At 39.0% G+C, this 23,704-nt stretch overlaps 3 long non-coding RNA genes and 1 other non-coding gene across 6 annotated transcripts in view; 1 reads left to right on the forward strand and 3 right to left on the reverse strand.

Annotated features, from left to right (window-relative positions):
• LINC03069 (long intergenic non-protein coding RNA 3069) overlaps nucleotides 1–23,704 on the reverse strand; it is a 187,650-nt gene that overhangs the window by 68,207 nt on the left and 95,739 nt on the right. The window lies entirely within an intron of this gene.
• LINC01905 (long intergenic non-protein coding RNA 1905) overlaps nucleotides 1–23,704 on the forward strand; it is a 54,038-nt gene that overhangs the window by 29,542 nt on the left and 792 nt on the right. The window contains exon 3 of one of the 2 annotated variants that reach the window (NR_146510.1): nucleotides 16,596–16,764. The exons of the other annotated variant lie outside the window; for it this stretch is intronic. This is a non-coding gene — a long non-coding RNA (long intergenic non-protein coding RNA 1905). The remainder of the gene's footprint in view (nucleotides 1–16,595; nucleotides 16,765–23,704) is intronic. 2 annotated transcript variants of the gene reach the window in all.
• On the reverse strand, nucleotides 7,575–7,775 carry LOC124904363 (small nucleolar RNA SNORA73 family). The gene has a single exon (XR_007066477.1). It is a non-coding gene; the product is annotated as a small nucleolar RNA SNORA73 family (small nucleolar RNA).
• LINC01539 (long intergenic non-protein coding RNA 1539) overlaps nucleotides 11,537–23,704 on the reverse strand; it is a 54,181-nt gene continuing 42,013 nt past the window's right edge. Inside the window, exons 6-9 of one of the 2 annotated variants that reach the window (NR_040026.1) lie at nucleotides 18,366–18,484; nucleotides 15,820–15,941; nucleotides 13,386–13,570; nucleotides 11,537–12,131 (exon numbers count right to left, since the gene is read on the reverse strand). This is a non-coding gene — a long non-coding RNA (long intergenic non-protein coding RNA 1539). The remainder of the gene's footprint in view (nucleotides 12,132–13,385; nucleotides 13,571–15,819; nucleotides 15,942–18,365; nucleotides 18,485–23,704) is intronic. The other variant, NR_040025.1, reaches the window with a different exon arrangement.

Below are 23,704 nucleotides of genomic sequence, written 5' to 3' on the forward strand. Positions count from 1 at the left end.
ATATTAAACACAAAACAGAAGAAAACAAAAATTCATTGGAATCCCCCTTTGGAGGATTCTATGGAGTCAGCTCAATATGTTGAAAACTGAAAAATGAAAGGAAAGAATCAAGCATTTATCTTGCTTTCCTAAATGAAATTCATCTCAAAGTCATTAGATAGTTGATTAGAATGTTTTCTTTTAAAGAAGCATTTAAACTATATATATAAAAGAAATTATAAAATTAGAATATCACCATTTTGTAACCATTAATGGATTGGGCAATGATCATCAATGGTCACTAATATTACAAAAACAAATAAAGAGAAACAAGACATTATATGCCTCTCCATAAGAGTGCTGCACAATTCTTCCTATAAAGTGTTTTAGACAAAAATCAGAACTCACATAGGATCAAGACTCAGGGATTCTTCACTCTTTTGTGCTCCAAAGGGCTTGGGCAGGCTAGTGAGTCCAATTGAACCCCTTTTGATAATAATATTTTAAAGACATAAAATAAAACACAAAAGTTGGTAAGTGTATTAGTCCATTTCACACTGCTAAAAGGAATATTCAAAACTGGGTAATGTACAAAAGGAAGAGGTTTAATTGACTCACAGTTCCATCTGAGTGGGGAGGCCTCAGGAAACTTACGATCATGACAGAAGGTGAGGAAGAAGCAAGTACCTTCTTCACAAGGTAGCAGGAAAGAGAGAGAGAGAGAGAGTTTCTTCACAAGGTAGCAGGAAAGAGAGAGAGAGAGAGAAGGAGGAACTACCAAACACTATAAAACCATCAGATCTCATGAGAACTCACTCAGTATCATGAGAACAGGATGGGGGAATCTTCCCCCATGATCCAATCACCTCCCACCAGGTCCCACCCTCGACACCTGGGGATTATGGGGATTACAATTTGAGATGAGATTTGGGTGGGAACACAGAGCCAGACCCTGTCAGTAACTAAACTCAATTATGTTAAATACAGTTACTCAAATAATAGAAAAAAATATGTATGTGTATGTGTACACACCTATATATATGATACACACACACACACAATATGTTGGGGCTTCTTCATCAACACGTTCAATAATCAGATCTAAAGGCAGGTCCAATAGCTGCAATAATTTTGAAGTCATGGTAAGATGAAATGATATTTAGGTATATCTTGCAACAGTTGGAATATGATAGGAAAATATGATTTCTATTGATGGCAAAGTCACATATACTATTAAAATTACTGTTGTTTTTTGGCTAATTTTTTAATTGAAGAGCATACTAAATTTTAGTTGGAAGTTAGTAAAAATAAATATGTCATTTTTTCCCCAAGTGTGTCCCTGAATTATATTCATGAATTGTTTGGGGTCTGCAGACCACAGATAATTAGGTCTAACTGCAAATTTACTGGAAATACAGGGGATAGCAGAACATGTTAAATGATACCCTGATTATTTAATTTATCAAAATCCAAGCTGTGGGAAACTATGACGGGCAAATAATCTGGTTTCTTCAACAAATACATCGTAAGGGAAAACTACTAATGGATACAAAAGCTTAGAGATTAAAAGAGACTTAGTGAAATACAACCAGTTGTAATCTAAGAACATTATTAAGATCTTGATACAAGCAAACACACTGTAAAAGATTACAAAACAATTGATAATATTTAAACACTAACTAGATATGAATAATACAATTACAATTTTGTTAATTTTTTTTTTGAACTGGAGTCTTGCTCTCTTGCCCAGGCTGGAGTGCAGTGGTGTGATCTTTGCTCACTGCAACGTCTGCCTCCTGGGTTCAAGCAATCCTCCTGCCTCAGACTCCCGAGTAGCTGGGACTACAGGTGCACCACCACATCTGGCTAATTTTTGTATTTTTAGTAGAGACGGGGTTCTGCCATGTTGGCCAGGCTGGTCTCGAACTCCTGACCTCAGGTAATCTGCCCGCCTTGGCCTTCCAAAGTGCTGGGATTACAGGTGTGAGCCACCATGCCCGGCCTTAATTTTGTTAGTTTTTAAAAATTGTGATAGTGGTATTTTAAAAGTGTTATTACATTTTAAAGACACATACTGAAATATGTAAAGATGAAATTACATAATGTCGGAGAACAGGGATAGGGTTCTAATTTTTTTATGTTGTTCTTTTTTTGTGTGTGTTTTGCAAATTTCCCATACCGATTGAGTAGTCTTTTATGATCATAAAAATGATTATATATATTAAAGCCTGTGTGTATATGTGTGTGTGTATATATATGTATATGATATATATATGTATATGATATATATGTATATGATATATATATGATCTTAGTTCATGCCTTTGAGATGTATATGTATGTGTATGTATATATACACATACATATACATCTCAAAGGCATGAACTAAGGTCATAACAATATATAATTTAAACTTTTGGTAACCTCCAGACATGCAACTAAATGTAGCAGGGAGAAGTGAGGGAACTCTTGAGAGAGAACTTAACCTAGTGGAAGATGGAATCAGAAAAAAAGCCTGGCTCTTGGAGAGATAAGGTTTCCATGTGGAGACAGCATGAATGTTGTGACTCAGATTTGTATTTGTCTGTGGTCCAACTCAGTATGGATCCATGTCTGAGTCCTGTGGGATGGAAGGTGATTAAGGAGAGTGGAAGTAAGATGAGGTGTAGTTAGGTGGACTGAAAATTCCAGAGAACATGGCACCTGCCATTTTGGACCCTCAAAGATGCCAGTGCTTCTACAGCATTGGAATCTGTAAGGAAACTTGAGGGAGATAGCTGCAGGCTGTGAACTCTGGAGGATGCACTGTGAAAATTGTGAGAGATGGGCAATGAGAAATCAAGAGGAAGCCCCCATGTAGTAGCCAAGAAAACTTGTCTATGAGCATATGCAAGATCTTGTCTGGGTGAGAACTTTGCAACAATGAGAGGTTTTGTAATTGAAGGTGAGTGTGATGAGAGGTCTATAGATAAGATCTCATGGCAGATGAGAGGACTTGTGTGTGCTTTAATGCTCTTATGACATATAGATTGTAACTTTCAATGCTGTAATTAATCTGCAAACTTATTGAATTACATAGAAAGTAGAAAATCCCTTTGTTTAAATCAGCTGGGTCTGCCATAACAAAATTCCACAGACTGAGTAACTTAACAGAAATTTATTTCTCATAGCTCTGGAGGTGGAGAAGTCCAAGTGTCGGCCAACTTGGTTTTGGGTGAGGGCTTTCTTCCTAGCTTGTAGACAGCTGCCTTCTTGCTGCGTCTTCACATTTCAGTAAGAGAGAGCTCTGATGTTCATTCCTCTTCTTACAAGGAACCAGCCCTGTGGGATTGGGGTTCTACCATTATGACCTCATTTAACTGCAATTACCTCCTAAAGGATTATCTCCAAATACAGTTACATTAGGGGTTAGGGCTTTAACATGGGAAGAGATACAATTCAGTCCAAGTACCCTTCAAGAGCTCAGCATACAGCAAGTGAATAATAAGTGCAAATGGTAAATTTTTACTTATTCATGGCAAAGTCATATCACCCACATAACAAGGGAGTTTGCCCCAAAGAAATATGACAAGGGCCCAATGCAGTGGCTCATGTCTATGATCTCATCACTTTGGGAGGCCAAAGTAGGTGGATTGTTTGAACCCAGGAGTTCGAGACCAGCCTGAACAATATAGTGAGACCCTATCTCTACAAAAAAAAAAAAAAAATTAGCTGGGCGTGATGGCACATGCCTGTGGTCCCAGTTACTTGGGAAGCTGAGGTGTGAGGACCACTTGAGCCCAAGAGGCCAAGGCTGCAGTGAGCCATTATTGTGCTACTGTACACAAGCCTGGGTGACTGGGTGACAGAGCAAGACTATGTCTCAAAAAAAAGAAAAAAGTATGACAAGAAACAGAGGCTTAGAGAAACTCAGTTATAAGGAGGAATCCTTGAAATAGGGGATGGAGAAAAACTGCATAGAACAACATGAGTTCTAATCCCAAATAGCCTGCCTAATGCCTCCTAAAAACTCTGGAGAGAAATTTGGGTTCTGGGTGGGTTATGATACATAAAAGGGAAAAATTTCTAAATTTAAAAATATCATTAGCAGCCACAAAATCAACAACTCCATCACCTCAAAGGCATCCTTGCTAAAACAAGCTAAGATCCTTATGCAAAATACTACCAATTGCCTGTAAGTAAATAATCAGTCCTCTACATGGCAGAGGTGTGATTTCTCTGAAATAATAGACTCTCCTCTGGAAGTGGTCAGGAGCAGGATCACTGGGAATAGAGGCCCACGTCATAGAACTAGATGGGTACTTGGTGACTTTCTGCCCAGCAATGGAGCTTCTGCTTCTTCTGTTGGTTTCTTCTGGGGTTGAAATCACTGGCTGCTTAGAGGGCAAAGTAGAGACTGGGATAGATTGGGCTGGGGAGGGGAGTAACAAAGGTATGAGAAGCAGGACAGAGATACATGATGCTCTATATCCAGAAACACTAGCACTCATATCACAGCATATTAAAGTGTTAAATGGACCTAGTTTAACAAGTATTTATGGAGTGCTTCCCTTATGCCAAGCCCTGTTCTAGGCTCCAGGGATGTAGTGATGAGCAATACAGCCAAAAATTCTCATCCTTCTGGTGCTTACCTTCTAGACTACTTCTTTACTGTTTAGTTATAATGTTGCTACCAAGTCTTGGAAATATGCTAGAACTCAACCCAATTACCCATGAGGCTCACCTGAGGACTGCAATTGCTTCTTTGGTGACATAATCACAAAAGTGTGACAAAATACTAAATTAGGATTAAAATGCTCCAGAACTTAAAGTTGGCCCCATAGCAAATAGCTGACTTTTTTGGCTCCAACCTCGTAAGTCAAGCATCAGTCATCATTAGCCACATTCACTTTGTAAACTTGTCAGTTTCCAATTTATACACGTGCAAAACCAACATTCTCATAGGCATAGGTTGTGTGCATTTTGTTTGTTTGTTAACCTTGCCTACATTGGGAAGGGGTCAAGCTGATCATTTTCCAACCTGTTTACATACACTCCTGTGCTGGGATGCAACATGCCAAGTCCCATCCAGTATCAGATGCTCACAAAGCCCCCTGGGAATCCAGAGTCCTGTGTTTATAACAGGAAGCATTGACCGCAAATACACTGAAGTCACACTACAAACATCCTCAGAGCTGTGCTCAGGGTTCTTGTTAGAGCTTTTGTATAAAGGAGAATGCCTTATAATTATCTCCTTTACTTCCAGAAATAATCATGAGGCCCAAAACACTTCCTGAATGAAAGAGAACCTGCATTGAATTTTGTTCTGTGGTGAATGGTATGGTTGCAGTATATTAGGATCTTGCAGAAATTGCAGAATTTATTGCCTATTTTTGTTTTGCTGCTTAATGGGATGTTTTGCACATAATAGGTTGAGTCAAAGAATCCATAAATATAGTAGATTCTTATTATTCATGATAGTTATAAAGTCCAAGTCATTGGTCTTTGCTCTTGGGGAAATACAGGGTCATTCTCTTAGGGGAAATACAGGGTTAGATTCCTGCAAGCTACTGTTTACAACATTTTTGTCCACCAGTCAATACATAACGTTGTTTCATGTGTGTTTCTGTTTAAAGACACCTTATTTAATATATGTTGTTGATTCATTAATATTGAACACATGGCCAAAATCATTATAACTCATTCCTAAATGATGCTTATCTAACACATATTTTCTTCATTAGGTACATCCCAGCCTTCTTGCACATAGAAACACTACACAGCACTTCAGCTGTATGTTTGGGGGCCATTTTAAACAGCAAAATCATCAACAGGAAGCAGAAAATTGTAAAAATTGTGGCACTAAATAGACCATGTAAAGGACACATGTTTGCAATAAGAAAGCTGAAACAAGAAGGGGGAGTGTCACCTTATTTGATCCAGCTAGAAACGTGAGTGTGAGAATTCAAATTTTTCACTGCTCTGACCATGTTCATGAGTAATTGCAAAAGTACCTCCAGTATTGATTTTGGGATTAGAAATAAATTTTAGCAAGTAGGCAAATCCCCAAATAGGAAATCCCTGATTCATGAGGATCAGCTGCCTGTAAATGTAGGTGACTTATACCTCACAACACTTAAGGGCAAGGAATGGCACACGTGGAGTTTCTAGTCCTTATTAAATTAAATTTGCTCTGAGCACCCACGTATCTGACTAGTGAAACTAGTTTCATTAACCCTTTAAAAAGATATTGATTTTGTGTGTGTGCTGGGAGAAAAATTGAGGGACATTTCCTTCCTTAGAGTCACCATTATTTCTGTTGTCCCTTTAGTCAGGTGCTGGTATTCCAGCAACACTCAGGCGGCTGCTCCAGGAGGCTGCAGAGGGGTCCTTTTTAGCCGTCAACAAAACTGGCTATGGTCACGCCCATTGGGAAACTCATTGCTGCCTTCAAGGTCAGTGCTGTGCATGTGTCCAGTGTCTCCCTCCCAGCACCCCATAGCAGTTCCTCACTGGAGCGTGGCCCACAATGTGGCCCATTGCTGGAAAGTCTATGGCTTCTCTGTGCTGGAGGAATTCTAAGGAATCTCTGTCTTTCTGGTGGATCCAGTTGTTCCTACGTCTTCACCCCCAAATCGCCAAAGTTCTGCCTCTCCTTACCCAACTTAATGACACTCAAAGTCCGAAGGAGAGTGGGATGAGGAGGATAAAGTCATGAAAGGAAGTTTCCATTTCCCCTACAGACATGGGAGTAAGGACAACTTGAACATTTAGAGATACAGTGCTAACTTCTACCCAGAATGGGAGTAGGGAAAGAAAATGCTTATGCCAATTACTTTTCTTCTTGATAACTCATCCTGGTGTAATTAATGAATGTTAGAAATTGCTTATTTTTAACTTGGTAAAATGTTTCCATGTTTGAGCTCTTAGGTGGAAGTTAAAGTCATCACAGTTCTTTCATGAAAGGAGAAAACTTCTACATAGAAGATGAGAAGCTTCTTTGGGGCAGAGACTATAGTTAGTATTTCTTTAGCACTGTTCATAATGTTAGGATAGGAATAAGCAGAGGTGGTATGCAATAGATGCATTTATCAACACCCAAATACTCTCTAAAGTATCTTCTCGTTTATGTGATGCATCCCAGAAAAATGACATGACCATAACATTTTTGAGAATTGTATCATATAAGATGGGGAATTGGCTATTCAGATGAAGAATGAATGATTTAATCAGTAATCTTTCATTATTTCTATCTTTTATTAGTTTAAATTTCATTATATGTCCTCTACTTTTAATATAAACTATTAAAATGATGAGCAAGTCAGGGAATATTTTCAGATCTGAGAGAAAACTAGTAACAATTACTCTGATCATTGAATTATTCACATGGTCTAATTTTATGTTTTTGGAACACGTCGCTCAAACTATGATCTTCAGTTTTGTCTTCTGAGAGATAAGAATAATAATACCTACTCAAAGGGCAGTTGTGATGATAGATCAGCTATTATACATGAAATTTCATGATAAATTACAAAATAGTATCTAAATATAAAGAGTTGCTGTGAATGTTATTCTTCCCTCCTTTAATTCTTTCTTTTAGTTTTATTTTATACTAGACAAATTTCCTGCATGGTCTGTCTCCTCTGTCATTGTCCACAGGACTCAGAAGCTGTAGGAATATTCAGGCACAGACACCAGACCCAGCTTCATCTCTAACTTGTGGCAAAGGACAGTACATCCTGGGATGGGACCCTATGCTCCCCTATGCCATTTAGACAGAGCCTGGGGAGAGTGACTTCCCAGGGTATCCATGTTGGAATCTCTCATTTGATTCTTATTCAAATGTAAGTCATTCTCCGAGGCCCATATAAAGTCAACCTCATCCTTGAAGCTTTGGGTTTTATTTCTTTAATGTGCTTTGTGTATACATTAATACTTAAAATTGAAATCTGGACAAAAGAAACTGTGTCTCTCGTAATGTAGTGATTCACATATAATAGGTTCTTGGTACTTACTGAATGACGAATGATTGAATCAATTAGCAGATGGATGGATGGATGGACGGATGGATAGATATGTTGTCATCATTCTGTTCATCCAGCTGTCTCAGCATGGCTAAAATTTACCTGCATGTCAGGAGCCTGATATTTCCCTTTTCTTCACTATCCAAATGAAATGGCTCAAGCCTCTACCCATGTCCTCCACACTCTTCCTGAAACCTTTGAGCATTCCCAAGGGAAGGCTGTTGTTCTCCAGGGTCAGTCATTGGGCAGCCTGCCCTAAATTATCTATCTCAGCTCCCATAACCAACATCCTCTTTCTACACTACTTTGACCCAGACTTAAGCACTGCTCTACTCTCTCCCAACACTCAACACATCTCTGGGCAGATCTTAACTAAAGCTTTAAAGATAGAAGTGAATGGTTTCAGCACAGCTCAGAATAGGAAACATTGACAACTGAATATTAATCACCACTACTCTTAAAAGCCCCTCAGTTATCCACTCCACCTGGATGTCTGCATGGCTGTCTTTTCTTTCTAGGCTTCTTGCCAGCCTCTTGCCAAGTTGCTCAGCCCTCTCCAACCACCAGTGAGGCATCAGTGACCAGTTCCCAAAGTCCAGTTAACTTTTTATGTAGTGCAGCTTAGCTCTCTCTCTCTCTCTTTTTTCATCCTATCTTTTAAGATAGCAGGGGCATCGTTTACAAAAAAAAAAAAAAAAAAAAAAAAAAAAGCATATCAGAATATTTTCCTAAACAAAAAGCTATCTCCTCTGAGATCAATATTTTCACTTCTCTGCCAGGCAAAAGTAATGGAAAGTCAGTGTTTTGTTTGAAATAGTAAATATTTCCTGAATTTGTCATTTTTAAAGTTTTTTTCACTTGAGATTTCCAGAATCATGGAAGTTAAACTTATCTCCTCAGTAGCCTTCTCTCTGGTAATAGAATACCCTCAGGACTATTCATTCCATCTACTTCCAGAAGCCATCACCAAAAATTAACTTCTCACCTTCTCGGAATGCCACATTTTAATGAACATTAACAATGGCATAACGTTTGTTCCGTCTTAAACATATTCAGTAACTTATTAATGCATACCGGACACTTGAGTGCAGACTTTTTTTCACATCATAAACATTGATTATAAGAAAAGCTTGAATTATCACCAAACTTTGAGCTTACCAGTTAGTCTCCATCTGTTATTGTTATTTAGGCTTTAGGACAAGAAGTTCAGCAATGTATATGTTGGGTCTACCAAGTCTTCAATCTTAAACTGCTTATTTTTTCCTCATTTTCTGCTTTCTAGATGATCCAGCTCCTCCATTGTCTTTCATGTGAAGTTTTGTCTTGTAACTAATCCCACAGCCCTTTTTCCTTGAAATTGAATGCCCTATCTGCCTATATGCAGTTACTACCATTCTACTCCAGATTTTACAATGCCTCTGCTATGTGATATCCTGGCTCCACAAACAAATTATACAATTTTTATTGGTGGGAGGCAAGTCTCACATTTATTTATGAATCCATCCTGGTGCCTACCCCTGTGCTAAGCACCATAGAAAATACTCAGCAAACACTGTTGAACATTTAAATAAAATAAAGAATTGCTAAAAGTCTTTTTACCATGTAAGAGTTCAATATAGAAGCTTAAAGCAGGAAGAAACTTAGACCTCCCTCTTATGCCAAGTAGAGAATTTGATTAACTTGGTCATTAGTCAATGAATATTGAGCTCTATTGGCAAACAGCTGTCTGTTAAGCACTATGGGAGACACATATGGTAGATAAAGCAAGTTCTTGCTCTCATGAAAGTTAAGATTTCTATTAAACATTTTCCTTTTGCTTCATTGAAAAGACATTTAATTTGTCATACATTTATAAGATATGGGTCAGGAAACACCAACACATTTAAACTCAGGTAACTATATGGTAAACAAAGGTGGAAAAAAGAGGTAGCTTCCATTGAAACATCTAATAATTACTAGCTCTTTCAAGGCTAAAAACAGTTTGTCTCCATGAAGTCACTTTAATCTAGTCCAATTGTTAGACAAAAACATTTTACAATGCAGACATTTTTGGAAGGCAATTGACCATGTATAAAAAACATCTGTATTTTTCAAGCAAGATAGTGGAGTGTTAAATTTTCTGTTGAGGTCAGCTCTCCAGCAGTGTATTTGATGATTTCATTGACATCCTGCTGCAGTTTCTTTTAAGGACTGGTAATTTGAAGTTTTTGGTTTCTCTTTTTAAATTTTCATCACTTCTGTTAGAGACAAAAATATGGGTTCCCCTTACAAGTGATTGTTTAAAAATGTGAAAGTCAAACAAACAATTAGTGTCCTACCAGATTGTCAATACTAATGGTTATGAGAATTGGAATGGTGACCCCAGGACAAGCAGTCTTTTTGGAAACATTTGCAGTGATGGCCTGGAAAATGTGAGGTTAAGAGAATATGAGAGGTAATCTTCTATGGCAGGAGAGCCTGCTTGGAATCTTCCTAAAAAAATAAGCAAAATCAAAGGCCAATCCTGTAAAATTTCCAAAACCCTTCACTGGAGTGGAATATTGCAATCATGAAGAAAGTCGCAGTAGAGAAAAAAAACAAACAAACATAAAGCATCAAATCTTATCCAACTTTTTGACAGCTAATCACAGCCATGTTAAATGTTACTGGGACTAAGAGCTTGAATGGTGTCATTAATGTTTTGGCCTATGAAATGTTGGCAGATAATTTATGTATTTCATGTGTAATGAAGCAAACCATCATACCACCCTACCTAAGGACGTTCTTCTATGAAATCACCTAAGAATTAGATGCAGACGACGCCAAGGCTTTCTGGATACTGGCAGAATCAAGTTTTTTTCTATGCAATGTCTGTCCTCCCAGTCTTGCCCCACAGTAAACACTTCAGCCTCACTTAGGTATAAGCCAGTCAGGGTTAATCCAACTATCCCAAGGAGGGCACAGTAAAAAAATGCCTCATTTGCCAACTTCTGCCCTCATTTGGTTTATTTTGAGCACTTCATTAAAAATAAAATGTATTATCACCTCTTCATTTATCTTCCCTATCCAGAAGGTTTGGCTGAAAGATTGATCTGATTCCAGATACTAAGGAAGTATCACTTTGCAGCCAATCACTCTGGGTTTTCTGGTATCCTAACCCAATGCTTTTAATAGAGATGTGTTTTCCAATGCAGACTCTCCAAATGCTATTTCCTACCAGTGTGCAGAGAGAGGCAATGCTGACAATATTTCTACTCATCTTTTAAGTTACTGGAAGGTGATTCTATAGCATATGGCTGTTAAGTTTAACAAAAGTAGGGGGAGGAGGAGAAAGGCCTGGCCATGAACATTCAGGAAGCTGGACCAGCGCCACCTGAAGGAGCCAGGAGGCCAGGAGGCCGGATGTGCACAGATCCCTGGGAGGAAAAAGAAGCCAGAACAGCTTAAATGGTCAAAGAATCAAATGTAAAGTGAGCTGCAAGGGTCAGATCTGGATGGAAGCCCAAATTCTGAGTCTCCGCATCCGTCCGGGGATAAACTTGGCTCCCAATCAGGGCTGACAATTAGGCCGTACAGTTAATATTTTTACAGCTGTTTTATTAATAACACATACAGTGCATCCAGCCAGGATTTGTTGGAGACACCTCAGGAAAACGAATGATGTAAATAACAGATGGATGTAGAATATCCCTACAAACAGGCATAAAGATATTCCCTTCTTGTTTAAAAAGAATTTAAATAGACAGATTGTAGATAAACAGGCAGACAGAAAGGGGGAGAGAGAGGATTTATGATATTTGAGGTGGTGGTTGCATGCGTTCACATGGCGAAAGACATGGACGTAAACATATACACTCTCTACATGGGAGGAGATGCTCAAAGCTTTGGCTTCTGGAAAAAAAAAATGTTTCATAGTGCAAGGGCTGAGCACCACAGCCTGGGGGCCCACAGAAGCAGGTATGCTGATGTGGCTCCTCAAATAGCTCCTCTGATACGTGGTTCAAGTCCGGAGACAACTTGCATGGCTTGTCCAGGCATGCCTGAGCCCAGCCTTGACCCCCAGGCTGTCCTGGGGCATCCTTTCCTCTTTCTCCTTGTCAATATGCCATTTGAAGACCCAGTGCACTCTTTTCAATTTTGCATCAGAACTAGGAGCAGTGGTATTTCAATCTGAAAAGAGAAATTAAAAATTCAGGATCTTCATGTCTTTTGTTTTCACTCCTACTATTTTTTTTTTTTGTACTGCTTTTTCATGTGCCTGCTGCACTGTGCTCCTACCATACTTTGCAACCAGATGGCTCAGGAACGAAGAACAAAGGCCACTAAAAAGTGGGCGGGGAGAAAAGGAGAAAGAAGCAGAGGACTGAAAGTCAAGGCGAAATCAGAGATGGGAGCAAAGCTCAATTGCTTTAATCACTGATACATTTTGGTTGAATTATGAACCTAGAACAGACACTCTTCCCAGTGATCCTGTATGTGTGCTGTGTGTGCATTGTGGTGTGTGTGCCTGTACCACACGCAGCCACATCTCCAGTCTTTTATTTCACTGGTAGGCATTAAAGCCAGAATGTATTCTTTGATGTATCTCTGTGTTCCCTGACATGTGTCAAAAGTGGCATGAGATGTCTTTTTCCAGAGAGAGAATGGTTGAGCTCAGATCTGGGCACTGAGAATGAGCCCATCTGCCTGGGAAGAAAGTGTGGTTGATTCAGAAGGGCTCAGGAGTTGTATGACCTGCCATTTCACAGTGGGTGACCTCGGTCGAGTCACATCCCTTCTCTCCTTAGTTTCCTCCTCCAGAAATATCTACCCCAAGGGATGCTGGGAGTGTTAAATAGAATAACATGTTATAAACTGGGAAGCACTGTATGAAAAGATTGTGATTATTCTGGAGTATTGCAACTTCTTGCAAAATTTTACAAGTGGCTAAGAGTTGTCTTCGATGCTTTTCTGTGACCCTCCCGACTGTATTTCATGCTTTACTTAGACCCCCAACCAAGCTTGTCTCTCCAGATCATGCTGTACACTGTGAATCTTACCCATGGTTCCCAATTGAACTTACTGTTTGTGTATCATTGGAATTTTATTCAATTATAGAATGACCTAATTGTCATTTAGGCGATTAATTATTTTGCTCGTGAACCATAGAAAGGTTTAATTTTTAATCAGGAATTTCTGCAGTCCCAAAGCCTTCAAGCAAAAGGAATGACTATCTAATGGTGAAATTTCACATAGATCAATGGGACTCAATAACTTTAGAAAGAAAATATTTGTTTTACTTCTAGTCAAGAATACACACAGAAGCCTATTCTGACTCCTGATAAAGTTAAGCCAGCATCCATGCATTAAAGGGGGTATGAGCTAAGAAAGAAGAAAGACTTCATGTGGGGTTCATGAGCGCTTCTGCTGAAACCTTACTTGTACCTTTACATCCTCCAATTGAGCTGAAATTTTCTTCTCACTGCAGTGTGCATAGCTACACTCTTCTTTTCAGCCTCAGACAGTGTGGGGATACTTGTGAAAATGACACTGCTTGATATTTTCATTTTAAATGAAGCCACGTGTACAGATTATGCCTTCTCTGATACTCGTGAGGACTCTGGAAGACACTGAGGGAAATTTGATTTACAGATGAGTAAAATGAAATGCAAAGAGATAAAACGACCCCCTTATCTCCCCGGGCTAGGCAGGCTTTTGAAATGCACAATGCACCTTCCCCTAGTCAAGAGGAAGAGAAATGATTGGTCATCCTCCTTCACATGGAAATTCAGGCAAAAGACCTGCGCCCATCTGTACCAGAGGCCCAGTTACTAACTGATGCTCACAATCTCACGTGTTTGGCAGCAAATCATAAGAAAAATTAAAGACTTGGGAGTCAGCCTGTAAGTTTCAAATCTTGGCTCTCCTGCTAACTCTATGTTCTGAACCTCTCCAAGATTGCTTAATTTCCTCAGTCTTTGTAAAACAGCATCATGATTACCTAACACATAGGGTTGTTGGGAGTGTTCAATGAGATGATGCATGGAAAGCAATTGACACGGTGCCTGGAAACGTAGTAAGTGCTAAAAAATGTTACATGAGAGTATTATCATTACGGCTCAGTGAGCAGGTCCCTTCTATCTTTGGGAATCATAGAATATTAGAGCTGGACAGAAACTTAAGAGGGGTGTTTTTTAAGCCTCTTGACCAAAATCTTTATTAAGAAAAACACTTTATTGTATAACCTAGTACAGAAAAATATATTACTTGCCAGCAAAATGGAAAGTTAATGTTTTTCAGAAATTGTTAAAAACTGGGGCTTGTTTGTGATTGCTTCCGGCATTTACCTCTTTATATTTTTTTCATTTTTAAAAGTTAATAAGCATGTTATAGAGGAACAAAACAATTTCAATACACACACGTATTGAAACAGAAATTTCCTAAAACAAGGCCTATTTTCGCTACTTGTAATACACTCTGATATTTTCTCTTTGGTTGGATTCTGTTTTGTTTTCTTCTAAAATATTGGTATGACCCACTAAATTGTCTTTAAAACCTCTTAATGAGTCACTGCTAATGGTTTGACAAAGCATTTCTTTTCATAGATAAAAGGCTAAGGCTCAATGTGGTTTGTCCAATATCTCTTATATGACTAGGCGCAGAAGTTGGTCTTGGACCAAGGTCTCTGGGCTTCCAATCTTGAGAGACCTAGAGTCACTAAAGGGCACCAAGATGCAAGGACTTGCTTTTGATGCTTTTGTATCCTGAAAGTCTGGAGCAAGAGCTTCTCCGTGAATTCACTGCCACTCAGAACATCCCAACAGATGTGTGTGGGTCACTCTGACACACTTGAAAATTTCCCGAACCTTAAGAAAGATCTGTTTTCCTCACTGCATTGGCAACACAGTTGGAAAGTTACTTGAATGTTTTTCAAAAATTGTTTATAGATTTGAAAACTGTTTTGGATTTGTGATTGCTTCTGTTGTTTGCCTCTTTGTATCATCTCGTTTTTGAAAATTTAATAAACACTTTGCAGAGGAGCAAAATAATTGGTCACACACTTGTGGGTTCCCAGATTTGTTTTACATGTGTATGCAATACAGAGTAACTCAAAACATGTTCAAACCCAATGCATCAAATCATTTCTGATGCTGTGGTCAAGACCAAAGCAGAATGTGAGTGAGCATCCACGGCCCTAGACCACATCACTCACTGGGCCTCTGACCGCAGTGCTTAGGGGACAGATCCTAGCCCCATTGACGCATGTGGCACCATTACAGCCCACGGCTGAAAGCTGGCGTGAAAGGCTCCCTCTGAAAGCTGGAGCACAGTCTGGGGTGCCTTATTGTTGGAGGATTTGCCCAATTTGTGACATCGAAGGAAGCAGCAGCCACTCTAGGAAGCTCCGCAAGGTGGGAACATCTCCACTCGACTCCATTCACTCAGCTTAGCCTCATCCACAAGGGGCTGCTAAGCAGGGGCTGTCTGTTTGTAAAGCAGGTGGAGGTTGATGGATCACCTTTCCTTCTTTGTCTGGCATCTCCAGGAGCTTCTTCCTGTATCTTGCAAACCCTATGAGCCCCATTGTTCATAGGAAGAGGGTTGAAAGCCCTGTGGGTTTACCGTTCCTTCCAAGTCCTTTGTAGAGCATTCTGTATAGAGATCATTGATCTGCTCTTGCTATCTTGGATTACTCAGGTCTTGAATGCTGACATTTGTAAGATGATTTCAGAACAACCTTCTACTTCCATCCCACCTCACTTTCCTTGCAACAATTTGTACCTAATAAGACCTAGTTAACTTGAAGGCATTTTCATTGCTTTTACTTTCCCATGAAGAAGAAATCAGTTGAGAAGGTTTTGTGAAAATTCTAACAGACCTTTAAGTGGTGACAATCTGGTTCTCAGAGAAGCCAAGAGATATGTAAGCAGCCTGAATGTAGGATCAATGTAGGCAAAGCATTTGAGTCATTTAAGCTCCAAATCTGGATTTACCTGAAATCTGTAACAAAAATGGATCAGATATTCATTTTCTAAATCATTCATCTATACATTTATGTCAGATATTTTACTTAACAACACAGTTTAAGTTTTCACTGTACTTCACACTAGACTCAGATTCAGGTTTACACTGATAAAGTGGATTAGCCTGAGATATTTCCAGTTCACATGGGGATATCTGTATGGCTTTGCCACAGAGCAAATGTTCAGAAATCCAAGTCCTGTTGCTCACGGTGTCTATCAGTTGTCCATGGGGAATCATGGCAGCAGATATTTTCTTCATCTTATACTAGGCTGGAAGATTTTGTACACACGGCTAGCTAAAAGCTTGATGTGCAACATCTCCGAAACAGTGTCAAATGAAGAAAAAAAGTTTATCAGTTTGGTACAAATAAACTTTTAAACCAATTTGGCTACATTGGTTTGGTTAATGGTTTGATTATCTTAGTCCATGGCTATAGTTATGTACATATAGGCACTGTGTGAATGGTTTGGCCACACATGCTCCTTACATGTAACTGCCAACTCCTTCATCCCTCACTCGTTGTGCAGTGATTTAGTTACTGTCTCTCATTCCAAACCTGGCCTTCTATGATCTGTTCTGTGATACTGCAACCAGGACTCTGAAAACTAGTTTTCCTTTATTTCCAGTTAGGTTCTGTCAATAGAAGATACTAAAGAAAGAAAGCCAGGAGAAGAAAAGGGACTTCTTTCTTCAAGGTCTAAGCTGTTCTAATAGCATTATTCTGGGAATGGCATCTTCCACTCCTCCTAGTACAAAGAACCTGCTTCCTCATACCCCGTCAAGGAACTGCAGCATCCAGGTACTTTCTCTGCCTCAAAGGTCTGCATCCCATTCTCCATTTGGCCCCTCCTTTGAACTACCAGATCTCCGGCTGGATTGCCTTTTTGTTCTGGAATTTTCTAAATTTCTTTATTAAATTTCCCAGTTGAAATTCCCAATGTGGTTTTTATTTCTCTCATGGACCCTGAATGTACAGTACTTATATCAGGAGTAGTCCCAGAAGAGAGGTCCTCCAAATGGAGTTATGGGATTGGTTTAAATCCCTGGGCTTGAGTGCAATGCTGCACCCTGCTAATGGAAATGAAATAGTAGTATTTTATGGCATGCAGTGGCATCTTGACTAATTGTGACTAATTGTGATAAAGTGCCAATTGAACCAGTGTCTTAGGGGACCAAATAGCTGCTGAACTTGGCCTTCAAGGAAGTAGTAAAGGCAGTGATGATGATTTCAAGAACTATGAGGTATGAGGGCTGCTTTGAATGAACTGGGGGACTTATTGGAGGACAATGACAAGTTCAAGGCTTTAAACTCTCTGCTCAAATTATAGTAAGAGAACTAGAAAGCTTTTGCTCTGGCGATTCCTAAAGATTCTCTTCCTATAACCATAGAGCTGACCTAATTGAGAATCAAACTCAGATTCTTATGTGGATTGCAAAGTCGCACAGACTCACCAACCTTCTTATGTGAAATTTAGGGTATTGACTGGGGAGAAGTGGGACCTTGACTCTTTGGATGTGGCATCTGGATCAATTGAGTCAAAGCTGAGAATCTTGAATCCCCAAATGGCTATGAGCCTCCCTTCCCAGTAGAAGCAGCTCATTCCCCTCTGTTCGAGAAGACTAGTTTCCCTTTGCTTGAAGACCCTGTAATAACCTCACTTGGGGCAGCTGCCTTGCAAGAGAATGCCTATTCTCCTTAAAACTTACCCCAACTACCACTTACTATCTCTACACCTATAACCAGGATCATTTCTTAGCAAGTGCCGGGGGTACAAAATCTGATCTGGGAAGAGCTAGCTTCCACAAAACAAAAACAAGTAAAATTTTGTTAATTTATAATGATAGAAGCCTAGCATGTGTGTGGGAATGACTTCTAAGGGTTAGATGATGGAATGTAACGTTGGATTGAATTGAATTTCTTGATATGAATGCACTTAACAGAGAGTCTGGATTTGCAAATGTTCAGTCGTCTTTCGGTGCCGTTTATACTGTCTTACTTCACTTCCCTCTTACTCTCACTTCCCTCTTACTTGATATAGATTCACCACCAGCACTACTCTATTTTTCTTCTTGAGAAAGAGAAAGAGAGGTCTCTTTAAGTCAGCTCTATGGTTATAGGAAGAGAATCTTTAGGAGCCACCTTAGCAAAAGCTTTCTAGTTCTCTTACTATAATTTGAGCAGAGAGTTTAAAGCCCTGAACTTGTCATTGTCTTCCAATAAATCCCCCAGTTCATTCAAAGCAGCCCTCATACCTCATAGTTCTTGAAATCATCATCACTGCCATCACTACTACCATGAAGGCCAAGTTCAGCAGCTATTTGGTCCCCTAAGGCACTGGTTCATGTGCATCCTCAATTTCTCCAACTACCACCTCCATCTTGTCTTGTTCCTCAACTCACCACAGACTCTTCTACTTGACCATGTTTTTATCCATTTCTCTTTCTCTTCCTCTTCCTTGCTTTCCCTCTCCTTCTCTTTCTCAAGAAGAAAAATACTTAGAGTAGTGATGGTGGTGAATCTATATCAAGAGAAAGGGGATTTATATACTTTAAAGGGAAATTAAACAAAATAAAAGCCCACATCATCAAATTCCAAGTGCATTCATGCACCCTAAACTCCCCCTTCAGATTTCCCACCACAATTTCCATTTACTTCCTTATTCTCATCTTATTTGGATCTTAGGGACAGCTAGGATCTTTCACAAATAAGATAACTGAGGGCTAGAAATGTTCAATCGTCTTCGTGGTGTCATTTATACTATCTTCTATGGTACTTTTCTTCTTTAGCATTACAAATATATAATATTTTATTTCCATGAAAGGTTTGATTTTTATTTATATGTTTGTTTTTTGTTAATAACCTGGAATAGATGCATTGTTTTGGTAGCACAATTTTGGGATAAAATAAATTCAAAGTGGCAAATTAACAATTTCAAAGGGAATTTTCAAATGGAACCTATTTTTAAGCTGAATATTGCCTGTATAATCCTTCAGATAAGAAATGAGGAAGGAAACCAGTAATTAGACTAAATAGTTAAGATCATAGACTTTGGGGTCCGACTGCCTGGGTTCAGATCTCAGCTCTGCCACTTACTAGCTGTGAGACTTTAAGCAAATTATAAGAAACCTCTCTAAGTCTGGGTTTCTTCATTTGTAAAATAGGATCAAGCACATAGTGTTGTTGCGAGAATTAAATGAGCTAATAGGTGTAAAAAGTAGAACAGTACTTGGCACATAGTAAGCTATATATGTGTGAGCTTTGTTCTTAATAGCCTGCTGAGGCCTTTTTTAATCCTGATTTTATAGATAGGACACTTAAAGGTATCAACTAACATGCTCCAACAGCATGGCTGGTAAATGAAAGAGCTGAGGTTTGAAACCCCTCCATTGGATTCTAAAGCCCATGCCCTATCTCTTACACCACGTGGCTTTGCTTTTAATAGTCAAACATACAGGAATGCATGCACCACATCATAGAACCCACAGACTAAATAACTTCCAATGTATGAGAGTTTCATTCACAAAAGTAGCTTTTTTTTTTTTTTTTTTAATTTGGAAGGCATTTTTCTAATCACTAAAGGTGTAAATAAGATTAAATAGTTTTGGACAAAAAAAGATTGAGCTATTGACTGTATATAAGAAAAGAAGAAGAAAAGTGACAAAGTCGGCCTTTCTTCTAGGATGATCCTCCCAAATAAGCCACAAAACTTCCTGATGTAATCTCATCCTTTTTCACTTTTAGTCTCAGAAGTGGTCCCTTGCTGATGTTCTAATCTCTGCCATTTCATCTCATGTTTTGGGGAAAGAGGAAAAAACTCCATTCTTCCATCTAATTTATAACTTATACAAAAAAGAAAGCTTTAAATGTTATGAATTTTTAATTTTTGTTTCATTTAGTTCATTCTCTTGCTGAGAAAAGTGACTGCCAAAGAACTGTGCCTAGTATGAGCAATAAACATCAACACTATCTGCTGCATTAATAATTTAAGCATAAATAATCAAACAAAATAATCTGGCAGGTCCCACAGGTGAATCATACAGAGTTTAAAAAATGTTGGTATGTTTAAACCAGGCAACTTTTAAATGAAAATTTACTCCAGTGTGGACAGAGGTGTGTTAGAGGGGCCACTGATAACATCCATTGATCTTATGTTTTTTACCAGAATACATTCATACCTAACACCTCAATAGATGACATGTTATCCATGGAATCGAGTTCAAAGCCCTCTGTAACGTGGCTATATCCCATCTACTCTGAGCTGATGTTCAGCAGGTACTTTTGATTGGTTGGGCATTCATTCTGACTGGTCAGTAGCCATACCTTATTTTTTTATTAATTGTTTTAAATACCATTATACTTGTTTCCTGTTGCTGCAGTAAGACATTGTCAAAAGCTTAGTGGCTCCAAGCAACACACAGTGAGTATCTTACAGTTCTATAGGTATGAAGTCGAACACAGATCTCCTTGGGCTAAAATCATGGTTTGGGCAGAGAGGTGTTCCCTACGGAGGCTACAGGGAAGTAAGAATCCATTTCCTGCCCTGTTTCTATTTTAGAAGCTGCTCACATTTCTCATTTTGTGGTGCCATTCCTCCATCCTCAAAGCCAGAGCTGCAAAGCAAAGCTTCAAAGCATGTCGCTGCAAGCTTCTCTTTTGCCTCCTCTTCTACTTATAGAACCCTTGTGACACATTGGGCCCAACAGCATAAACTAGGATAATCCCTCTATTTTAAGGTCATTTGGTTAGCAATCTTAATTCCTCTTTGTCTTGTATTCTAACATATTCATAGATCCTGGAGATTAGGACACACACTCCTTTACGGGCCATTATTCTGCCTACTACAGCTATTCATGCAATTCTCCCTGCATGCTTTCTACCGATCTCCCAAACATGTCCTTTTCTGACATCAAGCTGAGCTCCTTTTTGATCCTCAAGGTGAATGTTTTTTTCCATCTCTATGCCTTACCTAATTCACTTCTTCTTTCCAAGTCCTTTTCCTTTTCTTCAAAGCCTGTCCACACGTTTAGGTCCAGCTCAAGTTTCACCTCCTACGTGGAGCTTTTCCCATTGCAGAGTGCTCATCTTGTTTTTGTTTCTGTTTTTCCCTTCTTTTCTTATGTTCCATTAGAATTCCATTACACTAACCCACATGAAATTGCCAATAGTTTTTTTAACTTATGAAAAGAGAAATTGCATATGATTTAACCTAATACTTAATTGTCCACTACTTATCACTTAGTTGTTCCTGAATTAATTTCTATCCATATTTGTTTTTTCTTTCTATTTGAATTGCAATCTCTTTTAAACCAGAACTATGTCTCATGCTTTTTTGAATTACCTTCTACCTTCCAATTCTCACTTGCTCAGAAGATAGTTAGTTGTTCATTCAGTGTTGATGTAGCTGAGCAATGTTTTACCTGCTATGGTTACTTTGTTGAAAGCCACAGAATAACAATCTGGCCGAATTTAAGGGAAAGGATTAACTTGTTAGAAAGATAGTGAACTTAAAACTTCCACAATTAAAGTAATAGTCAAGCAACAGAACATAGAGAGCTAAAATCGCTTCTGAGATACGTATAATATTGACTATGAGTGAGTTAGTATCAGTAGATCTGGTCCTGTGACAAAATTCTAGAATAGAGATTATCCTGGCTTAGGGCATGTCATGTCCCTACTTTGTGAATGGAAGACGTAGCTAGCAGGACACTGTGATTGACAAGTCCATTAGGAGGACCGCATAAAACGTAGGGATAGTAATTTCTCAAAAGACAGCTAGAATGCTCATACCAAAGAAAAGATGTAGAAATACTGGGTAGACAAAATGACCAATGCACATGAATGAAATCTAAAATGAAATTTCTATGCTAAGTGGTATTGTCAATACAAATCCAATAAAGGCAATAGTAAAAAGGGTAAAACAAAACATGAGTAAGGATAGCTTTTAATTTGCTATAGGCTACATCAAAACACTGAACTGTTAAAAAATCGTCCTTATGTAGTAGCAACACCAACAGCCAATAATTATGGAGCATATATTATAACTCAGGCACTGTGCTAAAATGGTGCATGCATTTTCTCATTGAATCCTTGTTGTAACAAGTCCCTGGGTTGAGTTCTGTTCTGTTACTCTTCTTATTTAATGATAAAGGAAGTGAAGCATAGAGAAATTATGCAAGTTACCCACCTTTTATATCTACTAACTGCAAAGGAGAAGCAGTAATGAGGTGAGGCAGAAGAGGTACAAAGGGAGAGATACACCTATATTATTTGGACATCAGTGACACTTGAGACAACCAGGGTTAAGGGAGAGGTTTCAATTGATGATGCATGTAACTAGGCACTGTGTCAGCCTGTGCTGGAGGCCAGAAAGGAGCAGAGGAAAGAATGTCTACTGTCTGGTTGAGAAGGCTGACACTTGGACAAATAATTCCAATTCAATGTAAGAAGCCCTACACTAGAATTCCCTATAATGGTTCAGAAAGAACTCAGAGCGACCCATGACTCAGGGGACAATAGAAAGGAGAAGACGGGGAGAGTTTCTCCGAGAGGAGGTAGATCTTGAAGAATACACGTAAAAAGGTCAAGTTCAAGAAAGCAATCCTCAGGAAATGCATCGAGATGAATGAAAATCCAGAATATTTAGGGAGCTACCAGCAGTGAAGGATGATTTAAGTTATGCAAGTCATGATGAGAATTTGGGAATGAGAGTGATGGGAGACGAGACTGAAAACATAGGTTAGAGCCAGTTTTTAAAGAGCTTTGAGTGCCATACAAGACATCTGCTTTTTAAACCGCAAGCAACGGAGAAGCCCTGGACGTGTTTAAAGCCTCTGTGTTAATGATAAGATCAGATTTGCTTGGGAGAGGAGAGGCAGTTGAAAGCTGAATTGGAGTTGGGGAGGACTTGTGGGTTTCTGATTTAGGTAACTGGGCAAATAAAGTGCCATTGAATTCAGGACAGGATTCTTGAAGGAGGAAAAAATTTGAGGGGAAATAAAATGGGTTTGCTTTGGGAACTTCCTCATGGCAGTGTCCAGCAAACATGTGAAAATGTAAGACAGAACCCAGGAGGCATCAACATTTGTAGAACAGGAACTCATAATAATTAGAAGATTAGAGAGAGAATAGTGGATGAGATAAGCCAAAGAGAGTATGTAAAATAAGAAGAGGGATAAGAACAGGAATTCTGGAGGCACCAACATTTAAAGGGAGGAGGAGGAGGAAGATAAACCAGGCAAGAAGACTCAGAAAGAATCAAAGGGTTAAGAGAAATACAAAGGAACAGTTGTAATAAATCAGGAGAGAAGAAAGTATCAAGAATGCAAGTTGTGACACAGCCTTCATGTAAGAGGAGAACTCAATATTTCCCTTAGGATTTGGCTATTGAAAGGTTATTCATGATCCCACTGGTTAAACTGGGTATGGCATGGTGCAGCCAAAGTCAGATTGCAGAGAGTTGAGTGTAAAAGGCAGTGGAAACCTAGGGGCATGAGGGTGTTTTAATGTGAATAAAGAAGAGACATAGGTGGTATTGGGTTGATGAGGAGTCAGATTTTTAGTGTGCAAGAGGGAAAGAAAGAAGTGGAGAAAAGAGGTTGGAATGTGAATGAAGGGAGAAGTTGCTGTCCCAGTGGGAAGGGACAGATAAAGGCCCAGGTGGAATTCTGTAAGAGGTGTCATAGCTCTTTCCTTGAGTCAGAAATATTCATTTAGCTTCCCCATCATCCTTTCTTCTTCT

The sequence above is a fragment of the Homo sapiens genome, chromosome 18, assembly GCF_000001405.40.
Source record: "Homo sapiens chromosome 18, GRCh38.p14 Primary Assembly".
NCBI lineage: Eukaryota > Metazoa > Chordata > Mammalia > Primates > Hominidae > Homo > Homo sapiens.